Genomic DNA, 25,871 nt, shown 5'->3' with positions numbered 1-25,871 from the left:
TAGATGGGCCAGCAACATCTGTCCCTACCACGCAGGAACATGATCTCTATTCTGCCAGACAGGGAGGCCCAGGAAGGTGGATTTTGTCCGCCCAGACTTGTAAGTTACCGACAAGCAGGGGAAAAACCCAAGAGGGAAGTCCTCGTTCTGTGCACGCACCCCCTTCACCTGCGGCCTGACATTTGCAGGAATGATAAATCTCAGGGCAGTCTTATTTGATCAAGATGTAATACTAGGCAGAGGCCTGTCATCTCTAGGGTTTCAGCTCCGCGGGAGGAAAGCAGGTGGCTGCACTGGGTCTGTTGCAACGTGAGCCCACCAGAGAGAACAATTAACGCAGTGACCGCTGGCAGCCGCCTCTCCCCAGAAGGGCCGAAAGGAGCTTTGCTGAGAGATGTAACAGGAGAAGGTGGGCTGAACCCAGAAAGCCCCTCTGGAGGCTGACCTTCTCCTCAACTCAGAGACCTACAAAAGGGCCAGGAAAAGCAGTAGAGATGGCTGTTTGACAACTCCATGTCGTAGCGTCCTAGGGTTAAGCTGACCCCTACTGCTGTGGGAACCAGCAACAACACTGGAGCTGGAAGACCAAGCTTTGAAATCCAACTGTGAAACTTACTAGCTGTGCAATTTGGTCACTAACCCTCTGTGACTCAGTGCCTCAACCGTGGGTATCATAAGAACACTGACCCATCAAGTTTGCTAAGGAAGATTAAATGAGAAAAGGTAGGTGATAGTGTGCCACACAGGGAAGGGGCTCCATCATTACTTATTAAACTGATTCAAACACTAAAAACTCATTTAAGACTGAGCACAACTCCCTCCCTTAAACATTTTTTTGTCTTTTTTTTTTAAATTCTTAAAGCAATGCTTGAACATGATAAAACAAAAACAGAAACAAAAGCCACAACAGCACGAAGTGGGACACAGTGAAAAACAAACATCTCTCCCATGGGAAACCCTTGTCACCCATTTCTCTTCCCCTGGTGGCAATAAATGTTACCAGGTTCTGGTGAATCTTTCCGAAGATATTCTATGGATATACATAAAGGATCTATGTAGGTTTTAAACTGTGCCTCTTTTTATACAGCTAACATGCTATGTACATTCTTCTTATAGTTTGCATTTTACCCCCACTTAATGTAGCCTGGAACTAATTCCATGTAAATTTATATAAAGCTACATCATTCTTTTTGAGGCCGCAGGGTGTTACACTGCATTTATTTACCAGTCCTCTACTGGTGGACATTTAGGTTTTTATTAGTTTTCTGTGTCAGCTGTAACAAATTGCCATGAATTCAGTGCCTTAAAACAATATAAATCTATGATCTCACAGTTCCGCAGTTCAAAAGTCTGAAATGAGACTTGCTGGGCTAAAATCAAGTTATCTGCAGGACTGTGTTCCCTCCTGGAGACTCTAGGTGAGAATCTGTTTTCCTGTGCTTTGCAGCTTCTGGGACACCTGCATTCCTTGGCTTGTGGCCCCTTCCTCTGTCTTCAAAACCAGCAACAATAGGTTGAGTTTTTCCTCCAATCACATCACTCCAACTCTCCTTTTCTACCTCACTCTCCCACTTTTTTTTTTTTTTTTGAGATGGAATCTCACTCTGTTGCCTAGGCTGGAGTGCAGTGGTGTGATCTTGGCTCACTGCACCTCCATCTCCCAGGTTCAAGCAATTCTGCCTCAGCCTCCCAAGTGGCTGTGATTACAGGTGCCTGCCACCACACCCAGCTAATTTTTGTATTTTTAGTAGAGATGGGGTTTCACTGTGTTGGCCAGGCTGGTCTTGAACTCCTGACCTCAGATGATCTGCCCACTTCAGCCTCCCAAAGTGCTGGGATTATAGGCGTGAGCCACCTCGCCCAGCCTCTCCCTCTTCCACTTTTAAGAACCCTTGTGATTGCACTGGGCTTACCCTGATAACCCAGGATAATCTCCCTATTTTAAAGTCATCTGTTTAGCAACCATAACTCCATCTGCAACTTTAAATCCCTTTCCCATGTAACATAGCATATTCACAGGTTCTGGGGATTAGGATATGGACATTTTTGGGGGGCTATTACTGTGTCTACCAAAAGATTATTTCATATCTTTTGCTATTACAACAGAACTGATGAATATCATTATATAAACGTTGTTTCTACCTGTGAGTCTATATGAAAGATAAATTCTTAGAAGTGGACTTATCTGGGTAAAAAAAAGTGTGTTTCTTTAAAATGTTTGGTATACTGAGAGTGACACTGTAAAAAAATTTTTTTGGTAGGTAGGTATTGTCAAATTTTGCTCCAATGAAATGAGGTTGTAGCAATTTACACAACTACCACCAATATATAATACCATTTTTTTGGTTTTAATCAGTAGTCTTTATTATTTTTATTTTTTTTGTTTTTAAAATGTGCTTTATTGGAACTTTTATTTATTTTATTTTATTTATTGTATTTTGTTTTTAATCTTCTTTAAGTTCCAGGATGCATGTGCAGAATACGCAGGTTTGTTACATAGGTATACGTGTGCCATGGTGGTTTGCTGCCCCTATTAACCCGTCATCTAGGTTTTAAGCCCAGCGTGAATTAGATATTTCTCCTAATGCTCCTCCTCCCCTTGCTCCCCACCCCCCACCTTTTTTTTTTAGCAGTTTTATGTTAACAGAAAATTGATCAGAAAGTACAGAGAGTTCCTGTACACCTCCCCCTCCCCCCTATAGTTTCCTCAATTATTTACATCTTTTATTAGTGTGGTACATTTGCTATAATTGATGAACCAATGCTGATACATTGTGATTAACAGAAGTCCATAGCTTACATTAAGGCTGTTTCTCAGTGGTGTACATTCTGTGGGTTTTGACAAATGTATAAAAGGCATGTATCTACCATTACAGTATCATACAGAATAGTTTCACTGTCCTAAAAATCTCCTGTTCCAACTATTTATTCCTCCCTCTCTCCCCACTGCAACCCCTGACAATAACAGATTTTTTTTTGGGAGGGGGATGGAGTCTTGCTCTGTCACCAGGCTGGAGTACAGTGGCGCACTCCGCTCACTGCAACCTCTGCCCCCCGGGTTCAAGTGATTCTCCTGCCTTAGCCTCCCGAGTAGCTAGGACTACAGGCATGCTCCACCATGCCCAGCTAATTTTTGTATTTTTAGTAGAGACAGGGTTTCACGATGTTGGCCAGGATGGTCTCCATCTCTTGACCTCGTGATCCGCCCGCCTTGGCCTTCCAAAGTGCTGGGATTACAGGCGTGTGCTTCCGCTCCCTGCCAATAACAGATTTTTTTATTGTCTTCATACTTTTGTCTTTTCCACAATGTCATATATTTGGAATTATACAGAATATAGCTTTTTTTTTTCTAGCCGGGCGCAGTGGCTCACGCCTGTAATCCCAGCACTTTGGGAGGCCGAGGCGGGCGGATCACAAGGTCAGGATATCGAGACCATCCTGGCTAACACAGTGAAACCCCGTCTCTACTAAAAAATACAAAAAATTAGCCGGGCGCGGTGGCGGGAGCCTGTAGTCCCAGCTACTCCGGAGGCTGAGGCAGGAGAATGGCACGAACCTGGGAGGCGGAGCTTGCAGTGAGCCGAGATTGTGCCACTGCACCCCAGTCTGGGCGACAGCGAGACTCCGTCTCAAAAAAAAAAAAAAAAAAAAAAAAGATAGGCTTCTTTCACTTATCAATGTGCATTTAAGGTTACTCTTTTTGTGGCTTGTTAGTTCGTTTCTTTTTAGCACTGAATAATATTCCATTGTCTGGATGACCATAGTTTTTTAATCCAGTAACCTACTGAAAGACATCTTGGTTGTTTCCAGGATTAAGCAATGATGAATATAGCTGCTATGAACATCTCCATGCAGATTTTTGTGTGGACCTAAATTTTCAACAGTGGGGCCAGTTTTTTTTCTCTTCACTTTTCTTTTCTTTTTTCTTTTTTTTTTGAGATGGAGTCTTGCTTTGTCACCCAGGCTGGAGTGCTGTGGCACAATCTCAGCTCACTGCAACCTCTGCCTCCCGGGTTCCAGCGATTCTTCTGCCTCAGACTCCCAAGTAGCTGGGATTACAGGTGTGCACCTCCACTCCCAGCTAATTTTTGTATCTTTGGTAGAGACGGGGTTTCGCCATGTTGGCCAGATGGTCTTGAACTCCTGACCTCAAGTGATCCGCCTGCCTTGGCCTCCCAAAGTGCTGGGATTATAGGCGTAAGCCACCACGCCCAGCCCTTTTTTTCACATTTTTGAACATGCACTTTTTTAGCAGACTTGTTTTATTTTGGCCAATCTGATAGATGAAAAATGGTATCTAGTTGTTGTTTTAATAAGCATTAATTACGAATGAAGTTGGACATCTTTTCATATTTTTATTTTTATTTCTAGAAATGGTCTGTTTAGGTTTATTTTTCTTTTGGTTTGTTTTTTCTTAGGGATACATGCAGCATTTTTATATAATAAGGAAACTGAAAGTTTGTAAAAATGAGGTCATATTTTTATAATTTTTTTTCAGTTTGCTATTTGTCTTTTTTTTCCATGTAGAAATTTGAAACATTTATAAGTCAAATTTATGCATTTTTTTTTCTTTGGGGTTCTTTGTGTTTTGTCTTTCCCACTCTGAGATTTTATAAAACTCACCTGTTTATCCTAGCATTTTTATAGTTTTACTTTTTACATTTAAGTCCTTCATTCATCTGAAAGGAGCAGATTAAGGTTCCAAATACCACCTTCCCCCATGGATAACTTATCAAGGAATGTTTCGATATAATTTTCAGAATAATAAATCTTTCCTCTTACTTGAAATGCCACTTTTATTATGTACAAAATTCTGGTCAGTAATTGCATCTATTCTGGTCTTTTGTGCTGTTTTGCTTACCAAAGTTTTATATTATGTCTTAAAAAATAACAGCTTTATTAGCCGGGAGCGGAGGCTCACGCCTGTAATCCCAGCACTTTGGGAGGCCAAGACGGGCAGATCACGAGGTCAAGAAATCGAGACCATCCTGGCCAACATGGTGAAACCCCGTCTCTACTAAAAATACAAAAATTAGCTGGGCGTGGTGGCATGTGCCTGTAATCCCAGCTACTCAGGAGGCTGAGGCAGGAGAATCTCTTGAACCTGGGAGTCAGAGATTGCAGTGAGCCAAGATCGCACCACTGCGCTCCAGCCTGGCGACAGAGCGAGACTCCGTCTCAAAAAAAAAACAAAAACAAAAACAAAAAAAATACCCAGCTTTATTGGGATATAATCCACATATTATAAAATATAAAATTCACCCCTTTAAGTATACGATTCAGTGTTTTTCAGTATATTCACAAAGTTGCGTAACTATTACCACGATCTAATTTCACAACATTTTCATCATCTCATATAAAAACGCGATACCCATTAGCAGTCACTTCCCATTCCCTCCACAGCCCCTGGCACCCACGATTCTACTTTTGGTTTCTACAGATTTGCCTTTTCTGGGTATTTGGTAAAAGGAGAATCAGCCGGGCGCGGTGGCTCATGCCTGTAACCCCAGCACTTTGGGAGCACAAGGTCAGGAGATCGAGACCATCCTGGCTAACACGGTGAAAACCTGTCTCTACTAAAAAATACAAAAAATTAGCCGGGCGTCGTGGCGGGCGCCTGTGGTCCCAGCTACTCGGGAGGCTGAGGCAGGAGAATGGCGTGAACCCGGGAGGCGGAGCTTGCAGTGAGCCGAGATCGCGCCACTGCACTCCAGCCTGGGCGACAGAGCGAGACTCCGTCTCAAAAAAAAAAAAAAAAAAAAGGGGAATCATACCACACGTGGCTTTTTGTGACTGGCTTCTTTCACTTAGTGTAATATTTTCAGGGCTCATCCATGTGGTAGCATGAGTCAGTACTTCATTCCTTCTTATTGCTACTTGATATTCCATTGTATAGATCCTACCATGTTATACCACATTTTGCCTCTCCATTTATCAACTGATGGACATCGGGGTTGTTTCCACTTTTTCGCTATTATGACTCATGCTGCTGTTGAACATTAATGTACATTTTTTGTGTGGACCATATATTTTCAAATCTCTTGGAGAATATCTGTCTATCTATCTATCTACACACATACATATTTATATGTATACATATATACATATAAAATTGCTGGGTCATATAATGACTCTTTTTTTTTTTTTTTTTTTTTTTTTTGAGACGGAGTCTACCTCTGTCGCCCAGGCTGGAGTGCAGTGGTGCAATCTTGGTTCACTGCAACTTCTGCCTCCTGGGTTCAAGCGATTTTCATGCCTCAGCCTGCTGAGTAGCTGGGATTACAGCCGTGTGCCACCACACCTAGGTAATTTTTGTATTTTTAGTAGAGATGGGGTTTCACCACGTTGACCAGGCTGGTCTCGAATTCCTGACCCCAAGTGATCCGCCTGCCTCGGCCTCCTAAAAGCACTGAGATTATAGGTGTGAGCCACCACACCTATCCTCTATGTTTAACATTTTGAAGAACCAACGATTGCCAGACTGTTTTCCAAAGTAGTGCATGTTTTACATTCTCTTTTTCTTTTTTGTTTTTGAGACAAGATCTTGCTCTGTCACCCAGGCTGGAGTGGTGTGATCATGCCTCACTGCTTTGAGCCTCCCACCTCAGCCTCCTGGGTAGCTGGGACTACAGGCACCTGCCACCACGCCAGGCTATTTAAAAAATTTTTTTTGTAGAGATGGGTTTCGTTATGTTGCCCAAGGTGGTCTCAAACTCCTGGGCTCAAGCAATCTGCCTACTTCATCCTCCCAAAGTGTTGGGATTACAGGCGTGAGCCACCACGCCCTTGGCTGTTTTTCTTTTTGCCTTTTTTTTGAGACAGAGTCTCGCTCTGTTGCCCAGGCTGGAGTACAGTGGCATGATCATAGCTCACTGCAACCCCCACCTCCCAGGTTCAAGCAATTCTCGTGCCTCGGCCTCTTGAGTAGCTGGGATTACAGGCATGTATCACCATGCCTGGCTAATTTTTGTATTTTTAGTAGAGATAGGGGTTCACCATGTTGCCCAGGCTGGTCTTGAACTCATGACCTCAGGTGATCCACCCACTTCAGTGTCCCAAAGCGCTGGGATTACAGGTGTCAGCCACTGTGCCCCTGGCTGTTTTACATTCTTAACAGCAATGCATGAGGGTTTCAGTTTCTCCATATCCTCCCCAACACTTGGGAATGTTTGTCCCTTTGATTCTAGCCTCCTTATAGGTGTGAAGTGGTATCTCATTGTAGTTTTGATGGGTATTTTCTAATGACTAATGATGTGGAGCATTTTTTTCCTGTGCTTATTGCCATTTGTATACCTTACTTAGACAAAAGTCTATTCAAACTCTTTGCCCATTTTAAAAGTGGGTTGTCTTTTTGTGGCTAAATTATAAGAGTTCTTTTTATATTCTGAATAGTAGCTCCTTATCAGATATAGGACTTGGAAATATTTTCTCCCATTTTATGAGTATGTGTTTTCACTTTCTTGATGGTATCCTTTGAGGCACAAGAGTTTTTAACTTTGATGAAATTCAATTTATCTATTTTTTTTTGTTGTTTATGGTTTTGGTGTCATATCTAAGAAACTACAGTATGTTTCAATGTTCAGTAGGTAGTCTATCCTCACTGTCTTTCCCTCCCCACCCCCATATTTTTTTCCTGGCTATTCTTGCATGCTTATTTTTCCATGTGAACTTTAGAATCAGCCTATCTGGTTCCAAAAGCAATTCGTTTAGCATGTTTTAAAAATTGGAATCATTGTAAATACCATGATTTGTGAAACCGACATCTTTACAATAGTACATCCTCCTATTCAGAAGCAGGATATGTCTTTCCATTTATTCGGACTATCAAGTCCCTCAGCAGCATTCAAAGGCATTCCTCTTCCTTTTTTTTTTTTTTGGAGACAGGGTCTTGCTCTGTCACCCAGGCTGAAGTGCAGTGTCGCGATCATAGCTCACTGCAGCCTCTAACTCCTGGGCTCAAGCAATCCTCCTGCTAAGACACTCCTCTTATACATTTAGCACATCTTTTTTTTTTTTTTTTTTGAGATGGAGTTTCGCTCTGTCGCCCAGGCTGGAGTGCAGTGGCGTGATCTTTGCTCACTGCAACCTCCACCTCCTGGGTTAAAGCGATTGATTCTCCTGCCTCAGCCTCCCCAGTAGCTGGGATTACAGGCACCCACCACCATGTCCAGCTAATTTTCGTGTTTTTAGGAGGAATGGGGTTTCACCATGTTGGTCAGGCTGGTCTCGAACTCCTGACCTCAGGTGATCTACCTGCCTCGGCCTCCCAAAGTGCTGGGATTACAGGCGTGAGCCACTGTGCCCGGCCCATTTAGCACATTTGTATTGGTTGTGTTTTGTGTCATCACTCATATGAATGGAAACTTTTAAAATATTTCCTAACTGGTTGATTGCATGTAAGAAAGGTACTAACTTTTGTATATCAGTCATATAAACAGTCATCTTATTTTATTGATAATTGACATCTAATTATTTCATTGTGAATTCCTGAATTACCTTGAGTTAGAGGTTTACAGTCATATCATCTAAAGATGATAATTTGTCTTTCTCCTTTCCTGTTTTCCTACATCTTGCTTCTTTCGGTTGTCTCACTGTATAGTATAGGCCAGCACTTCCAGAATAATGTTACGTTTAACATTGTTAGTGGTGTGAGTAGAAATTCTCATTTTGCTCTTGACTCTGGGAAATGCTTCCAGCATTTACAGATTTACTGAGCCTTTTTTTCTATGGTGCTCTCTTGTCAGGTTACATACAGCGTTGTGCTGGCTTCATAAAAAGAATTTGGAAATTTTCCTGCTTTCTCTTTGCTCTGGAACAATTTAAATAGCAGGTAGAATTCACCCATGAAACCATCTGGACCTGACACTTTTTTTGGGTATTGCTCTTTGAAAATATTCTCAATTTATTCTACAGTATTTGGTAGGTTTCTTTTTTGGTGCGTGTGTTTTAAAAAACTCTTTTGGAATTAGTTGTAATATTTTCTATTTCCCTAGAAAATCATCTATTCTATCCAGAGTTTTAAACATTTTTGCCTAGGTGGATCGAGGTAAATGTTTATGATTCTATTAATTAGATTGGTGTGTATGGTTATTTCCCAACTGTCATTTCTTGTGTATTTGATCTTTAGAAAGCTGCTAGTGATAGGGGTGGGAAAGGAGTCTTCTGCTGCAGGACAGCCTGTTTCTATGACCAGTCTGAGACTGAGGGCTCTGGATCACAAAATCCCCCAATGCCCAGCCAGTTTGGTTTCGTTTGCGATGATGGAAGACAAACATTTCTCCTCTACCTGGCTTTAGCTGTGATTGAGTGTTTGCCATGTGCCAAGCTCTTAGCTTTTACATTCTCGTTTAATTCTCACAGTCCCATGAGATAGGGAGTACCGCATTATCCACAGTTTACTGGCAGGAAACAGAGACTCAAAGAGTTACAATACTCCTCTGAAGTCACATAGCTAGTAGCTGGCCAGGGTGGGATTAAATACACGGCCCATTCTGCACTTACCTTTACCTCGCCTGGTGTCAGCAACATGGAAACATCCACAGTTGATGACTTTTTTTTCCTTTTAATTGAGATGGAGTCTCGATCTGTCGCCCAGGCTGGAGTGCAATGGTGTGATATTGGCTCACTGCAACCTCCACCTCCCAGGTTCAAGCGATTCTCCTGCCTCAGCCTCCCAAGTAGTTGGGACTACAGATGCGCGCCACCACGCCCAGCTAATTTTTTTGTATTTTTAGTAGAGACAGGGTTTTGCCATATTGGCCAGGCTGTTCTCAAACTCCTGACCTCAGGTGATCTGCCTGCCTTGGCCTCCCAGAATGCTGGGATTACAGGCGTGAGCCACCATGCTGGGCCCACGGTCGGTGACTTCTAACTCAGGCCCATGTTTCTCGGATCTATAAGGTGCCTCACGGTGTGACCTCCCCACTCTTTCCTGTACATTTCTTAGATATTGTTTTGAGGCTTGCTCTGTTCCTGACATTGTGCAAGGTACTCGGAAAACGGCTGTGAAGTGGAGACCACGGACCTCGCTCTCAGACATGGTGTTTATCATCCTGTAGGATGATCATTTAAGAAGCAGAACAATAATTTTTTTTTCTTTGAGGCAGGGTCTCACTGCGTCACCCAGGCTGGAGTGCAGTGGTGCAATCTTCCCTCACTGCACCACGCCCGGCCAATAATTTTTTTAAAAAAACAAACCATCAAGCCAGGCATACTGGCCCATGCCTATAATTCCAGCACTTTGGGAGGCCGAGGTGGGCAGATTGCTTGAGCTCAGGAGTTCCAGACCAGGCTGGGCAACACGGCGTGACCCCATCTCTACCAAAAATACAAAAATTAGCTGGGCGTGGTGGTGCATGCCTATAGTCACAGCTACTCAGGAGGCTGAGGTAAGAGGATCACTTGAGCCTGGGAGGTCGAGGCTGCCATGGGCTGAGATAGCACCACTGCACTCCAGCCTGGGTGACACAGCAAGATCCTGTCTCAAACAACAACAAAAAGGCATCAGATCACAGTGCCTTAAGGTACAGTTGGTTTTTTTTTTTTTTTTTTTGAGACAGAGTTTCTCTCTTGTTGCCCAGGCTGGAGTGCAATGGCGCGATCTCGGCTCACTGCAACCTCCGCCTCCTGGGTTCAATTGATTCTCCTGCCTCAGCCTCCTGAGTACCTGGGATTACAGGCATGCACCACCACCCCGGCTAATTTTGTATTTTTAGTAAAGACGGGGTTTCTCCATGTTGGTCAGGCTGGTCTTGAACTCCCGACCTCAGGTGATCCACCCGCCTCAGCCTCCCAAAGTGCTGGGATTACAGGCGTGAGCCACTGCGCCCGGCTTAAGGTACAGTTTTTGAGGGAGCCCAGGACTAGCTTGAATCACACACATCTGACTCTTAATTGCTTTATGTCTGGGACACGCCTCTTCATTTCTGAGAGCCTTTGTTCCCACATCTGCAAAATGTGGATAACACCACACGTTTTTTTTTCCCACTTGGTAGGGATGCCTCTTACAATTGATGGTGTCTCCCAACGATATCTGGCAGTGTTTTTCTCTTTCCTATTGTTGAAGAAAACAGTGGTATGTCCCATTGATGGCCTTAGGTTGGATGACATATGGTAATAATCACGTGGTGGTTATGAGGACCAAATGAGATAATGTAAGGTGAAAAGCCCTATGCAAATTCAGGTGAAACAGTGCGAATTCAGGTGAAACAAGCATTGGCCCAGATTCTAAACTAAAGTCTGTCATTGCTACTTTGTTGATGACCTTAAGCAAGTTACCCCCGGTGTGTGGTCCCCAAATTTCCTTCTCTGGCCTTCCTTCTCAGCAAAACGAGAGATTTATTTAATTCATTAATTCAGCAAACACCTACTAAGCACATTTTCTGGGCCAGGCACAGTGGCCCTGGGGATGTAAGGACGTGAGACAGGGTGGAAGTGCGTTGTTCAGCAGGATGCAGACAGGGGACAAAGTTCTTCCTGTGAGCCTGCTTCAGTTAAGGTAGAGACTGAAAGCTGATGTCAAAGGTCTCCTCCAGCTTTAAATTCTGTTATTCTGGGACTAGGAGGCGGGACAGACAGGGCAAGCATGTTTGGGGAGGCCGTATGGTATAAGGGTTAATGTAGTGGTCCTGGTGTTGGACAGCCTTGGGCCAGCTCTGTCGCTTTTAAGCTGTGTGACCCTAGGCCAATGACTTAACCTTTCTGATCCTCTGGAGCCTTATCTGTAAAATAGGAGTGACAACAGTCTCCTCTCATAGGGTTCTAGTGAGTGCTGAAAGAGATACAATGTGTATAGTTCTTAGCTTAGTGCCTGGTACATAATAAGCAATGAATGAATGATAGGTAGCTTCCCTGCTTCCTTTCCTTCCTTCCTTCTCTAGCCTTTTCTCTCCTTTCTCCTTCCTGTTTTTCCTTTTCTGCCTCTCCCTCCTTCTCCCCAGTTTTACTTCTGTACTTGAGAAGCGAAAACTTTCTGGAGCAGGAATTCCCTGTCCAAACCTTCCCACTTTCTATTTGGAGGTTGGCACAGAAAAACCAACTCTGCTGAATAAATTGGCTTTCCTTATTGCTAGCCTTTGAAGTGGCTCCCACCCCTGCTGGAAGTTTCTGGTGTTTTCTGCCATGGCTGCCCTGTAGTGAAAGCAGGATGTTCTCTCCACGAGTCAGGGGAGACACAGCCCAAGTCCTAGATCTGAAAAGAGTTATTGGTTCCAAACTATGAAAACTGTAAAAATAAAAAAGTTTAATTAAAAACTATACAATGTAACATTGTGTTAATTGCATTAATTGTTAAATATTGTGTTTCTTTATATTTGAAAACAATTCGTAGGTTGGATTTTTCTCAATTTTCCCCGAGTTCCCAAATAGGCACAATAATTACTGAGAAATTATAGCCAATTGTAAATTCAGTGAGTTGTTTGCCAGTTGTAAATTAAATGAGTATGTTTAGCCAAATTCAATAGCAAAATTATAAAAAGCCCTTTCAAAAAATTTACCATTAAAATTGCTAATATGGAATATTTTAAAGTGTTTTATACAATATAAGCCCTCTCTAGGGCTAGAGAAGACGTTAAAATGCCTTGTGCTGTATTTGGGAGGCCAGGAACCCTCTTTTTGATTCTTCTATTTTTTTCTCCCCAGGATAGCTGATTTTTCCAGTCCTTTGTGAGACATCTAATATTTACAATTTGTAATAGCTTTGGAAAATATTCACAATGTAATAAAAAATTGCAGGATCTTAAGCTATAGATCAGTTTGATCTCAAGTAGTTTAAAAAATTCATACATGCATTTTTTTTTAAAAAAAGACTAGAAAGAATTATACTAAAATGTTAACAGGCTCTCTAGGTGGAACAACATGCATAATTATCTTTTATTTTTTATAGTTTTCATAGTTTTCAAATTTTCTACAATGAAAATGTATTACAATCAGAAAAACAATTTTTGGTAGTTTAAATTTTTTTTTTCTTACTACAAAAGTAATTTATGCTCATTATAGAAAAATCACAAAATACATATAAGCATAAGGAAGGAAAAGAAACATGCAAATTCCACCCACCCAGAGACAACCACTGGGTCCTTCCAGACCTTGTTATGCATACATAAACATTTATATTTTTATCACAAAACAGGATCATTCTGTACATAGTACTGCGTTGAAACCTGCTTCTTTCCCCATAATGTATATTGAGAAATGCCAACAGCACATTTCTATAACGTGATTTTCATGGCAGCATACATTACATTATGAGGACAAACCATAATTTACTTAACCCCTAATTATTAGACATTTATGTTGCTTCCAAAGTTTCTCTATTACAAATAATGCTGTAATAAGAAATATTTTAAAGCACTTAAGAATCCTTTATTTTTACATGGAAATCGTAGGACGCTACCCAACAGATATTTATTTTTTCTTTTTTTAATTTTTATTTATTTTATATTATTTATTTTTAATTATTTTTATTTTTTATTTTTTGGGGGATGGAGTCTTGCTCTGTTGCCCAGGCTAGAGTGCAGTGGTGCGATCTCGGCTCACTGCAACCTCCACCTCCTGGGTTTAAGCAATTCTCTTGGCTTAGCCTCCTGAGTAGCTGGGATTACAGGCACACGCCACCACAACCAGCTACTTTTTGTTTAGTAGAGACAGGGTTTCGCCATGTTGGCCAGGCTAGTCTTGAATTCCTGACCTCAAGTGATCCATCCGTCTTGGCCTCCAAAAGTGCTGGTATTACAAGCGTGAGCCACCATACCCGGCCCATTTATTTATTTTAGAGACAGGGTCTCACTATGTTGCCCAGGCTGGTCTTGAACTTCTGGGCTCAAGTGATCCTCCTGCCTCAGCCTCCCAAAGTGCTGGGATTACAGGCGTGAGCCACTGCACCCAGCCCAGATATTTATTTTTGAATGATGCTAGGCTCTGAGGATGCAAAGGTTGTTTCAGTTGTTATTCCTGCTCTGCAGGAGTTCCCAGTCCAGGAGGAGATAGTGGCAGGAGTGACAAACTATGCCCCAGAAAGCCAGGAAAGGCTCCTCTGGCAAGTGACGTTGAACTAGGACTTGAAGATCAAGTAGGAGTTCACCAGGCAGACAGGATGAGGTTAGCTGGGATATTTCAACAGCATGGACAACAGGGCATGAGAAAATGGGAAGGTAATATCTTATCTGGAGCCTGTGGTGTGCTGCGTACGTTTCACATAAGTTTTCTCATCCAATTCTCACATCAACTCCACAAAGTAACCGTTCTTAGTCCCATTTTCTAGCCAAAGAAACTGAGGTTACAGTGCTTGTTTAGCTAGAGGTAGAGCCAGGATTTGGACACAGGTCTCACTTACTCTGAAGCTCAAGCTCTTTCTTTCTTCCTTTCTTCTCTTTCCCTGATGACAGCAGGGGCAGTTCTATGCTCCCAAGCAAGATAAGAACAAGGTCTAATTCCTTTTCTTCCCATCTGATATTTCCTGGTAGCAAACATTTCCGCCATTTTAAGACCTGTGCTACCCATTGCCATAGAGTAGTGAAGTCCCAGCCTGTTTTGTCTCTTGCAGTAGCCACTCCTTACAGAGCCTGAAAGAGAAGGGGAGCGTCCAGCCGCCATCTTGGGCTCTGTCTTGTCATCCCTTGAACAAGTCTGTCTTCTCTCTCTTTTTTTTTTTGAGACAGAGTCTCGCTCTTTCGCCCAGGCCGGACTGCAGTGGCACTATCTCGGCTCACTGCAAGCTCCGCCTCCCGGGTTCACGCCACTCTCTTGCCTCAGCCTCCCTAGTAGCTGGGACTACAGGCGCCCGCTACCGCGTCTGGCTAATTTTTTGTATTTTTAGTAGAGACGGGGTTTCACCCCGTTAACCAGGTTGGTCTTGATTTCCTGACCTCGTGATCCGCCCGCCTCGGCCTCCCAAAGTGCTGGGATTACAGGCGTGAGCCACTGCGCCCGGCCACAAGTCTGTCTTCTCTTTAATGCCTCATTTGTCTTGGCACAAAGACACATGATTAGGCTCAGAGTGGCATGTTTTGGCAAGGGTGAGACACATTCAGTGGAGTGTTGGGGAAAGGATGGGGTTAGGGTGGAGGCCTAGGGCCAGAGACAGATGGGCCATGCTAAGACATACGTTAGTGACGTTTGTTAGGGAAATGACATGGCTAAATGGTTCTTTAGGAAGAAGAGTCAGGCGCCTCTGGAAGGGATGGTTTGGCCTACAGAGAGAAAACAGGTTATGGTCCAAAAATAGCAATGGCTAACATTTTTTGATTGCCAGACACTATTCTAAGCATTTAAACATATTTTAACTCTCTTAATCCTTGTGACATAGGTACTATTATTATCCCTGTTTTGCAAGTGACAAAACCGAAGTACAGAGACTTTAGGTAACTTGTCCAAGGACACACAGTAAGTGGAAAGGCCAAGACTTAGCCCAAGGCAGCCTACTCATAACTATCAATCTAGTTCAGCTGAATTTTGCAAAACTGAATGAGGAAACGTGTTAGTTCCTTGAAGACAGGGGGCCTGATTAACTACTGTATTCCCATGCAGAGCTCACTTTCTTTTGTTTTGTTTTGAGATGGAGTCTTGCTCTGTCACCCAGGCTGGAGTGCAGTGGTGCAATCTCAGCTCACTGCAAACTCCGCCTCCCGGGTTCACGCCATTCTCCTGCCTCAGCCTCCCGAGTAGCTGGGACTACAGGCGCCTGCCACCACACCCTGCTAAATTTTTTTTGTATTTTTAGTAGAGACAGGGTTTCACTGTGTTAGCTAGGATGGTCTTGATCTCCTGCCCTCGTGATCCGCCTGCCTCGGCCTCCCAAAGTGCTGGGATTACAGGCATGAGCCACCGCACCCGGCCTGCAGAGCCCAACTTTTGAAGCATCACGCACTGTCAATAGATACTTGATTAATGATTAAATGTGAAGGCAATTAGTCTGAACTAAAACAGTGGCAGGGTGGTGGTGGGGAAAAAATGTCCCTGAATTAGAATCACAGGATTTGATGACAAGAGTGGGGGTGAAGAGTGGAAGGAGAGGATTCTGGGGGGATGACTTGGAGGTTCCCAGGTTGGTGGAGCAGGAGGAGAGTGGTGTTGTTAATAAGGCTCAGCCTTCCTGATTAGGGGCTTATCAGAGAGAGTTGAGCTTGGGTCATATTAACTTGAGGGTCCTGGGCGCCTCGGCCCTGGCTCCTCATGTGAGAATCATATAAAGGTTATTCTTCTGATTTTGATAGCAAACCCAATAGGTTTGCAAACTTCTCACATGCTAATTAAGAAACTAATTAAAACCCATCGGTTCTTAAAGACATATGGTTTATTTAAAGTTGATCCAAGATTGATATTTGGTTAAACAATGTTTTAATAAATCATAGAATGAATTGGCTCTAAGAATACTAGCATGGTGCTCCAATTTACTAGACACTTTCCATGCATTCTTTTTTCCTTTGAAATATGAAAAAAATGAGATAGTGTAGATAAAAATATCTAATGCCTAACGATCATTTAAAGCTAGTTTCCTTCTTGAAGCCCATGGAACTCTGTGGGGTTAGGTATGGTTATTATCCCCATTGTACAGATGAAGAAACAGGAGTAATTAAGAGAGATTAAGGGGCTGGGTACAGTGGCTCACACCTGTAATCCCAGCACTTTGGGAGACTGAGACGGGTGGATTACCTGAGGTCAGGAGATCGAGACCAGCCTGACCAACAAAGTGAAACCCAGTCTCTACTAAAAATACAAAAATTATCTGGGTATGATGGCGAGTGCCTGTAATCCCAACTACTTGGGAGGCTGAGGCAGGAGAATCACTTGAACCTGGGAGCCGGAGGTTGCGGTGAGCAGAGATCGCACCATTGCACTCCAGCCTGGGTGACAGAGCGAGACTCTGTCATAAATAAATAAATAACGAGAGGTTAAGGGACTCATACAAAGTGATTTTGCAAGGAAGTGGAAAAGTCAGGACTCATACCTAGGTCTCCCCACAATTGCTGTATACTAAATCATCCCCAAACGTAGAAGCTTAAAGCAGTAAGTATTTATCATTACATCACAGAGTTGATGAAGATCAGCAGTTTGGGGTGGCCTAGCTGGGACTGCAGTCTCTGGAGGCTTGACTAGGGCAGGAGGTTCCTTTTCCAGGCACACTCACATGGCTTTGGGCAGGAAACTTCAGTTCCTTTGCACTTGGGCTTCTCTCTAGGGCTGCTCAAGACATAGTTTTACCCAGACTGAATGATCAGAGAGAGCGAAAGAGAGAGGGGGTGGGGAGATAGAGGGAGAAAATGAGAGAGTGAGCAAGAGCAGTTAGGCTAGAAATCTTTTTATGACCCATCTTGGAAGTAATATCCCATCAATTTTGCTGTATTTTACTCATTACATTTTTTAAAAAATTTTTGTTATTTTATTTTATTTTATTATTTTTGGAGACACAGTCTTGCTCTGTCACCCGCTGGAGTGCAGTGGCACGATCATGGCTCATTGCAGCCTCGACCTCCCCAGGCTCAGGTGATCCTCCCACCCCAGCCTCCCAAGTAGCTGGAACTACAGGTGTGCACCACCTCGCCTGGCCAATTTTTTGTATTTTTTGTAGAGATGGGGTTTCACTATGTTGTTCAGGCTGGTCTCAACCTCCTGAGCTCTCAAGCGATCTGCCAGACGTGGCCTCCCAAAGTGCTGGGATTACAGGTGTGAGCTACTGTGCCCTATCCTGTATTTTATTTTTTTTGTAGAGATGGGGTCTCGCCATGTTGCCCAGGCTGGTGTAGAACTCCTGGGTTCAAGCAATCCTCCCGCCTCAGTCTCCCAAAGTGCTTGGATACAGGTGTGTGCCACCACGTCCAGCCCCAGCGTGTATTTTACATCTTAGAAGGAAGTCATTAGGTCCAGGCCCCACTTAAGGGGAGGGAACTTCACCAGGGTGTGAACGTCAGGAGGCAGGGATCATTGGGGACCATCTTAGAGGCTGCCTACCGCAGGCACCCTTTCTACTCTGCCATTCCACAAATTGTCATTTTCATCTTTGCAGCTTCTCCTCATCTCCCATCCTCCAAATAGAAGTATTTTATGAACTTCATAAAGTTGCAATGTGGCCAGTTTGGGGCAATTTATATCTTCTATAGACAACAGCATTGAACTACTTAGCAAACCAGGAAGTGGAAAATGGTTATAAAGGGATCCAATTACTTTCATTGCCAAGGCAGTGTAAAACGCAACATGTGAAAATGGACTTAATTGGTGAAAAATTAATTAGACAATTAAATTTATTTCTGCTTAAATACACTTAGGTGTTAATTGGTAATCTGACTGCAGGTTTATTTTAAGTTACATTTGTTATCTTGACTCTGTCCTTTAAGAAACGATCTTTGTTTAATATGCCGTGAACACTCCTGGTCTTGCCGAGAAACAGTGTCTAGTTCATTCTCATCGTTCTTCTCCAGATAGGACTGATCCGGGTCAGACTGGCCCAGAGGGCAAAAAAGCATTTGCTTCGAAAGCCCCATCAAGAGGAAAATCTTTCTACTGCCAGAGGGGCTCTTCTGGGAAGCCTGAGTGGAGAGGTACAGGATTCCAAGTGGGAACTGCAGACTCGTTAGTCTGCCACTCACTGGCTCTGTGACTCTGGGCAAGTTACTTCTGCAGTCTGGGTTTCAGTTTCTCTATCTGTAAAATGAGCTAGTGGGCGTTGATGATGTCTGAGTTCACTTCACCCATAAAATTCCACGATTGTCAAGTACAGGGGTTTCATGACAGGAGGGATAGATTGCAAGGGTTTTCTTTTTCTTGAAAAAAAAAATTTCTTAGCCTCATCTGTTTGCTAGAATTTGTTTTAGAGTATTTCATGTGCTGGTTAAACATAGTGGGTTGGATACATTTTAACCTGCGCACTGTCTTTAAATCCCACTGAAATCATGAGGACAGAGAGAATGGGCAAGGGGTCATCGATGGACCGGAGATGGGATGGTAGGGACAGAAACTGCAGGGTCCGCAGAAGGAACTGCTCACCGAAAGCCAACAAGCTTGCCCTGTGGAATCCCAGAAAGGCCCAGGAACTTCGGGACATCACTGAAGGCAGAGTGAAGAGAGGTAAGTGCAAGTCCAGATGAATGAGTGATGATGTTCCCACTCTCTCCAGAGTTGCACACCCCCTCACCACCCCCAAGTGGAAGATTGGGAGATTCCTCTCTGGGGAAAGGAAGCAATTCCACAGGAAGGAGTTCCCCAATGAAAAAGACAACATGCATGGTGGTGCATGCTGGTGGTCCCAGCTACTGGGGAGGCTGAGGCAGGAGGATCGCTTGAGCCTAGCAGTTCAAGGCTGCAGTGAGCCATGTTAGTGCCTCTGCACTCCCGCCTGGGTGGGAGTGAGACTAATGCAGGACAGGCAAGCCCCCAAATTGGGCCTTAGCCTGGGAGGGTTCTCAGTTTCACACAGGAAAGAATTCAAGGGCAAGCCAGAGGTGTTAGACAGCAACTTTTTTTTTTTTTTTCTTTTGAGACAAAGTTTCTGGTCACTCAGGCTGGAGTGCAATGGTGCGATCTCGGCTCACTGCAACCTCTGCCTCCTGGGTTTAAGTGATTCTCCTGCCTCAGCCTCCTGAGTAGCTGGGATTACAGGCACTCGCCGCCATGGCTGGCTAATTTTTGTATTTTTAGTAGAGATGGGGTTTTGCCATGTTGGCCAGGCTGGTCTTGAACTCCTGACCTCAGGTGATCCGCCTGCCTTGGCCTCCCAAGGTGCTGGGATTACAGGCATGAGCCACCATGCCTGGCCTAGACAGCAACTTTTATTGAAGTGGCCGTGCACAGCAGCAGCAGAGGTACCGCTGCTGGCAGAGCGGTGTGCCCAGAGTAGCAGCTCAGAGGCAGTACTGCACTCATGTTTATACCCACTTTTAATTATATACAAATTAAGGGGTGGTTTATGCAGAGATTCTAGGATGAGAGTGGTCATTGCAGGGTCAGGGTTATTGCCCTGGAAAGGGGTGGTAACATCTGGGTGTTGCATGGGAGCAGTAAACTGACATAGCACCCTTGTGGTCGTGTCTTATGGAAAGCTGCTTCTGGACCTGTTTTAGTTAGTCCTCAATTTGGTCCGGTATGTGAGCCCCACCTCCAGAGCCGAGTCCTGCCTCCCACCTCAAGACCCCGTCTCTAAAAAAAAAGAAAAATCTGCAGGTGACAAACTGCACCCACTCAGAGCTTCCCATCAGCTTTCAGTGTCTCTCTCTTTTTTGTTGTTGCTCAAGTTAAAAAAATGTTTAAATTGACAAATAATAACTGTGTATATGTTTGGGGTACAGTGTGAGGTTTTGCCTCCCACTGAATGTGCACACTCAGCCAAGGATCACTAGACACATGAGGGAAGTCTCTCGACAGGAGGGAGACCACAAAAGATGGACAAAGGAAATGGAAAAGAAAAAGAATCAGAGCAAGGAACGAGAGAAAAAGTCTAACAATTTTTCTCAGAGATGAGAGGATACTGATTTGGGTTTGTGCTCAGATACCTCATCAGAGAGACTGCTGGCTACTCTGTCTAAAATAGTATCTTCTCTTACTCCCTTCCCCCTTACTCTGCCTTATTTCAGGAAGAGAAGACAGAGAAATGGAGGGGAGAAAACTATTAAAATAAGTAATAAGAAAACTTTCCCCAGAAGTGCAGAATCTGAATTTCCAGTATAAAAGGGTCCATTGAGCGCCAAGAACAATGAAGGAAAAAAGGTCCCACTCAGGCCTACGTATCATTGTGAAATTTCAGAACTAGAGGGATAAAGAAAAGATCCTAAAAGCTTCCCGAGAGATAAAAAAGAAGATTTTTACAAAGGATCAGCAATCAGAATTGCCTCAGACTGCTCAATAAAAACATCAGAAGCTAGAAGAAAATAGAATGAGGCATCAAAATCCTGAGGGAAATGATTCCCACCTATAATTTCATATTCTGCTCAATTATCAATTGAGTATTGAAGGGAAATAAAGACATTTTTAGACATGCAGTTTCTCCACTTGATCTTAGCCCAAAGGCCGAGAGGCAATGACATGCAGTTTCTCAAAAGGTTTGCTTCCCACTTTCTTGGAAAAAACCAAGAAAGAGGGGGCCTGGGGAACCAGGGGATCCCAACACAGGAGAGTGGCAGAGGAAGCTCCCAGGATGATGGAAAATGGAAGCAAACCAGCCCAGATGGAAGGAGAAGGGCCTGGCATGGTGGCTCACACCTGTAATCCCAGCACTTTGGGAGGTCAAGGTGGGCAGATCACTTGAGATCAGGAGTTCGAGACTAGCCTAGCCAACATAGTGAAACCCTGTCTTTACCAAAAAATACAAAAATTAGCCGGGTGTGGTGGCAGGTGCCTGTAATCCCAGCTACTCGGGAAGCTGAGGCAGGAGAATTGCTTGAATCTGGGAGGCAGAGGTTGCAGTGAGCCGAGATCGCACCACAGCACTCCAGCCTGGGCAACAGAGAGAGACTCCATCTCAAGAAAAAAATAAAAAAAATAAAAAAAGGAGAAGGACAGAGGGTTCCAGGAGGATGATCAGTGAGAAAAAAATGGAATGGGTAGATTATCTGAATTTCTTGGTGTGTGGAAATATTAAAAGGCTCTTAGAAGATCTAAGAAAAGTTATTGTTAGGTATCTAGAATAGTAAGCAAATTTTAAAAAAGAAAGAGACCTGATTACTAACTTTAGGGGAAACAAAAAGTTGTACAAGAAGAGAAACATATCTTGGTTTCAATGGGCTCAATTGAATAAAAATCACATAATCATAATAAGATAAACATTTAATGTTAACTTAAGCAAGAGGTATACTACATTGAGTAGAAGAGGGGAACAGGAAGTACTTTAAAAAGCTAACTGCTCATTCGTCAGGCTGGTCCAGAGATGATGGGTCAAACCAATAAATGGAGATGGTGACTAAACCTGTTCTGTAGACATCTGAAGATAAATACCATAAAATACGTACAACAAAGTGATTATGGTCACCTCTGGGGCAAAGGGAAGGAAGGTCTTACTATTTTTTGTTAAAGGTGTTTTTAGTATCTTTTGACTTTCTTTTTTTTCCAACTTATATTTCAAGTTCAGGGGTCCATGCGCAGGATGCGCAGGTTTGATACATAGGTAAACGTGTGCCACAGTCATTTGCTGCACAGATCATCCCATCACCTAGGTATTAAGCCCAGCATCTGTTAGCTATTCTTCCTGATGCTTTCCCTTCTCCCATGGGACTTTTTGTGTTTTTTATTTACAAGAATTTTTTTTTAATTTTAGAGACAGGGTCTCAGTATGTTGCCCAAGCTGGTCTTGAACTCTTGGCCTCAAGCGGTCCTCTTGTCTCAGCCTCCAAGGTGTTGGGCTTACAGGTGTGAGCCATGGCACTCTGCTCTTTGATTTCTTCTGTTTTGTTTTGTTTTGAGACATTGTCTTGCTCTGTGGCCCAGGCTGGAGTACAATGGTGCAATCATGGCTCACTCCAGCGTCGAACTCCTGGGCTCGAGCAATCCTCCCATTTCAGCCTCCTGAGTAGCTGGGACCACAGGCACATGCCACCACTCCCAGCTAATATTTAAATTTTTTGTAGAGATGGGATCTCTCTATGTTGCCCAGTCTGGTCTCAAACTCCTGACCTCAAGCCATCCTCCCGCCTCAGCCTCTCAAAGTGTTGGGATTACAGGCGTGAGCCACCGCACCTGGCCTTGACGTCTTAAACTCAGTGCAATAATTACTTTGAGAAAAATAAAGATGAAGTGTAAAAACTGCACCTCATGTAGACAGCTCACATTTACCCCTCTTTATCTGCCAGTGTGAACAAGAATAAAATCGCTGCTGGAGGGAAGACCTGGCTCATGCTTGTGCTGCTGAGTTTGATTTAGAGGGGCCTAGAAAGGTTGTCCTGCTCCCAAATCTCACCTCTCCTGATGATGGATGTCCTACCATTCTGTGGTGACAGTGGGGAGAGACAGCAGTGGACTGGAGTTAGAGGATTTAGATTCAAATTTAATTTCTGCCACGTGTTAGCCAAGTGATGTTAGCAAAATAACAGATTTTAACTATCCCCTGAGCACGCACCAGGACTCATGGTCGACCCTGGGAGTACATATCCCTGTCTTCAAGGAGTTTAAGGAGGGGGTGAGTCAGTTTTCTCATAGGTAAAATGGGAATTCATTGATTTACTTATTCAGTAGATACTGAGCACCTACTGTCTGCAGGAACCTTGTATTGAGCTGGGACAGAAAGCCAGGAGCATTTGGCCCCTGGGCAGGAGCAGCAGTGACAGAAGCTTGGGCCCTAGGTGGCCAGACCCGCAAAGCACATGGGGGACTGAGGGACAAAGGGGAGGCCAGGAGCTCACCACCCTGCAGCAGAGGCCCAAACTCAAAGGCATTGTGTGTGGTGGGGGTGCAGGGTGTGGTGGATCAACAGTGCCCACTTCACCCCACACTGGCTGAGCTCTGTCACTATATTTTCCTTCTGAGAACTATCTTCAGTGGTCTGGGAGTTTAGGATTTTAGAGGAGAGGGTCCTGAAAAAACATCTAGGCCACTCATTCCCACATTTTTGCAGTTAATACATCAGTAACTTTCCCAAACTGACCGGGGAGCCAATCGAGTTACCAACTTCTTACTCACTACATAAAGATATGGAGAGAAAACATGGGGTGATACTCAGCTACCATCTACCTTCATTTCACAAAAGAAAGGGCCACTTCCCATCTATGAAACAGGAAACATAAGTACCATGAAATACTATGCAGCCATAAAAAAGATGAAGCCATGTCCTTTGCAGCAACATAGATGCAGCTGGAGGCCATTATCCTAAGTGAATTACTGCAGGAACAGAAAACCAAATATCACACGTTCTCACTTACAAGTGAGAGCTAAATATTGAGGAACACATGGTCACAAAGAGGGGGACAATAGACAGTGGGGACTACTAGGGGGAGGAGGGAGAGAGGTGGGTGAGGATAGAAGAACTACCTCTTGGGTACTATGCTCACTACCTAGGTGACAAAATCATTTGTGCAGCAAACCTCCATAACATGCAGTTTACCATGTAACAAACCTGCACATGTACCCTCTGAACCTGAAATAAAAGTTGGAAGAAAAAAAAAAGAAAAAACAGATGCTAGAGGGAGAATCAAACCAAGAAAAACATAATCTCAGGATAAAGGACGGTCTTTTAAATTGCATACATTTAACTTCATTCATGAAACACACATTACCTCGGCCTTATTTTTCTCACTTTACTGCAGCCATGTGACACCGTGGGTGTAGACAAACACCAAACCACAGCTAGCTTCAGGCAACACTTTCCACACCCTCCCCTCCATCTTATAAGTAAAGAGATCAGAGGTCCAGCCTCCATTAGGTATTTGTGATTACAGCAGAACCATGCCTAAGAAACAGGTCTCCAGTCCTAGGGTCAAGGCTGAGCCTCCATCCTCTTACCCAACTTTCAGTTTCACCACTTGTGCAAGTCGGGTGAGTGGTGAGGAATAGAGTCACTGACTAGCTCTTGGCACCATGAAAGGCAAGAGAAAAACGGAAAGAGAATGACTCACCATTGAGGCCAGTGTCCTCTTTTGCACCTTCCCAACACCCCCCATTTGCCTGCAAGGTCACTCTAAAATAAACCCTTGGATTTAGCTTCCTCCCTCTGCTCCTTTTCAGCCTTTCCCTGGTTTCCTCTCCTAGGGACTTTCTGTGGGATGTTTCTCGGTCTTTGCCCTCCTTGACTTCTGCAGCAGTGAAAGATTTTCACGTTGTTGACTCTTCTCCCTCCCTGAATCTCCTTATCCCCCTGGCATTTTGGTACCAGTATCTGTGGGTTACCCCCTGCTTACTGAACAATTCTTTCTTCTTCACTCACTCTTCTTTCTGCCTTCCAAATGCTGCTTTCCCCTGAGTTAATTCCTCATCCCCTCTCATTCATCATCCTTTACAGAGACCATTCCCAACCTTTTTTTTTTTTTTTTTTTGAGACGGAGTCTGGCTCTGTCACTCAGGCTGGAGTGCAATGGTGCAATCTCGGCTCAATGCAAACTCCGCCTCTTGGGCTCAAGCAATTCTCCTGCCTCAGCTTCCTGAGTAGCTGGGATTACAGGGGTGTACCACCATGCGCAGCTAATTTTTATATTTAAGTAGAGACAGGGTTTCACCATGTTGGCTAGGCTGGTCTCGAATTCCTGACCTCCAGTGATCTGGCCGCCTGGGTCTCCCTAGGCTGGGATTACAGGTGTGAGCCACCATGCCCAGCCATTCCCAAACTTTTATCCCCAGTGCCATCTTCTCTGCCAAGCTTCAGACTCACGTTGTTAATGGATATTTTGACGTCTTCACCTGGAACTCTGGAAGGCACCCGCAGTAACATGTTGCAAATAGGAAGCTTTATTTTCCTTCCAAACCTGTTCTCCTTCGGGTTTCCCTGTCTTGGTGAATGCTATCACCCCCCAATCTATCTCCAAAGCCAGATACTTCGGAGTGAATCTTGACACCCCTCACTTCCTCCCTGGCAGTTTTGAATCAGTCACAAATCCAACCTGATCTTTCTTAGAAATATCTTTTAAATCTTAAATGTCTTAAACCCACCTTCCCTGGCACTGCCTATGTCATCTCTTTCCTGCGCTAGTATAACATTCTCCTAATTGGTCTCCATACCACCACTCTCTCATCTCTCTGCAGCCCAGCCTTTCTATCAACTAAAAAACAAACCCAATCAGCCCCTCCCTTGCTTATGAAACCTCCATCAGAATGACAATAAAACAGGGAGAATTTTAAAAAGTATAATATTCGATGCTGATGTGGATGCTGTGAAACAGGCAATCTCATTGATTACTAATAGAAATGCAAGCTGTCCAACTCTTTTAGAATACAGTTCAAAAATACATAGCAAGAACTTAAATATA

At 43.8% G+C, this 25,871-nt stretch overlaps 1 long non-coding RNA gene across 1 annotated transcript; it reads left to right on the top strand.

Annotated features, from left to right (window-relative positions):
• The first annotated feature begins 15,125 nt into the window (after positions 1–15,125).
• On the top strand, positions 15,126–20,962 carry LINC02710 (long intergenic non-protein coding RNA 2710). Its single transcript, NR_183776.1, has 3 exons — positions 15,126–15,205; positions 18,895–19,059; positions 20,562–20,962. It is a non-coding gene; the product is annotated as a long intergenic non-protein coding RNA 2710 (long non-coding RNA).
• The last annotated feature ends 4,909 nt before the right edge of the window (positions 20,963–25,871 follow it).

Source organism: Homo sapiens, chromosome 11 (assembly GCF_000001405.40).
Source record: "Homo sapiens chromosome 11, GRCh38.p14 Primary Assembly".
NCBI classification, from domain to species: domain Eukaryota; kingdom Metazoa; phylum Chordata; class Mammalia; order Primates; family Hominidae; genus Homo; species Homo sapiens.
This window is presented reverse-complemented; position numbering and strand designations above follow the sequence as displayed.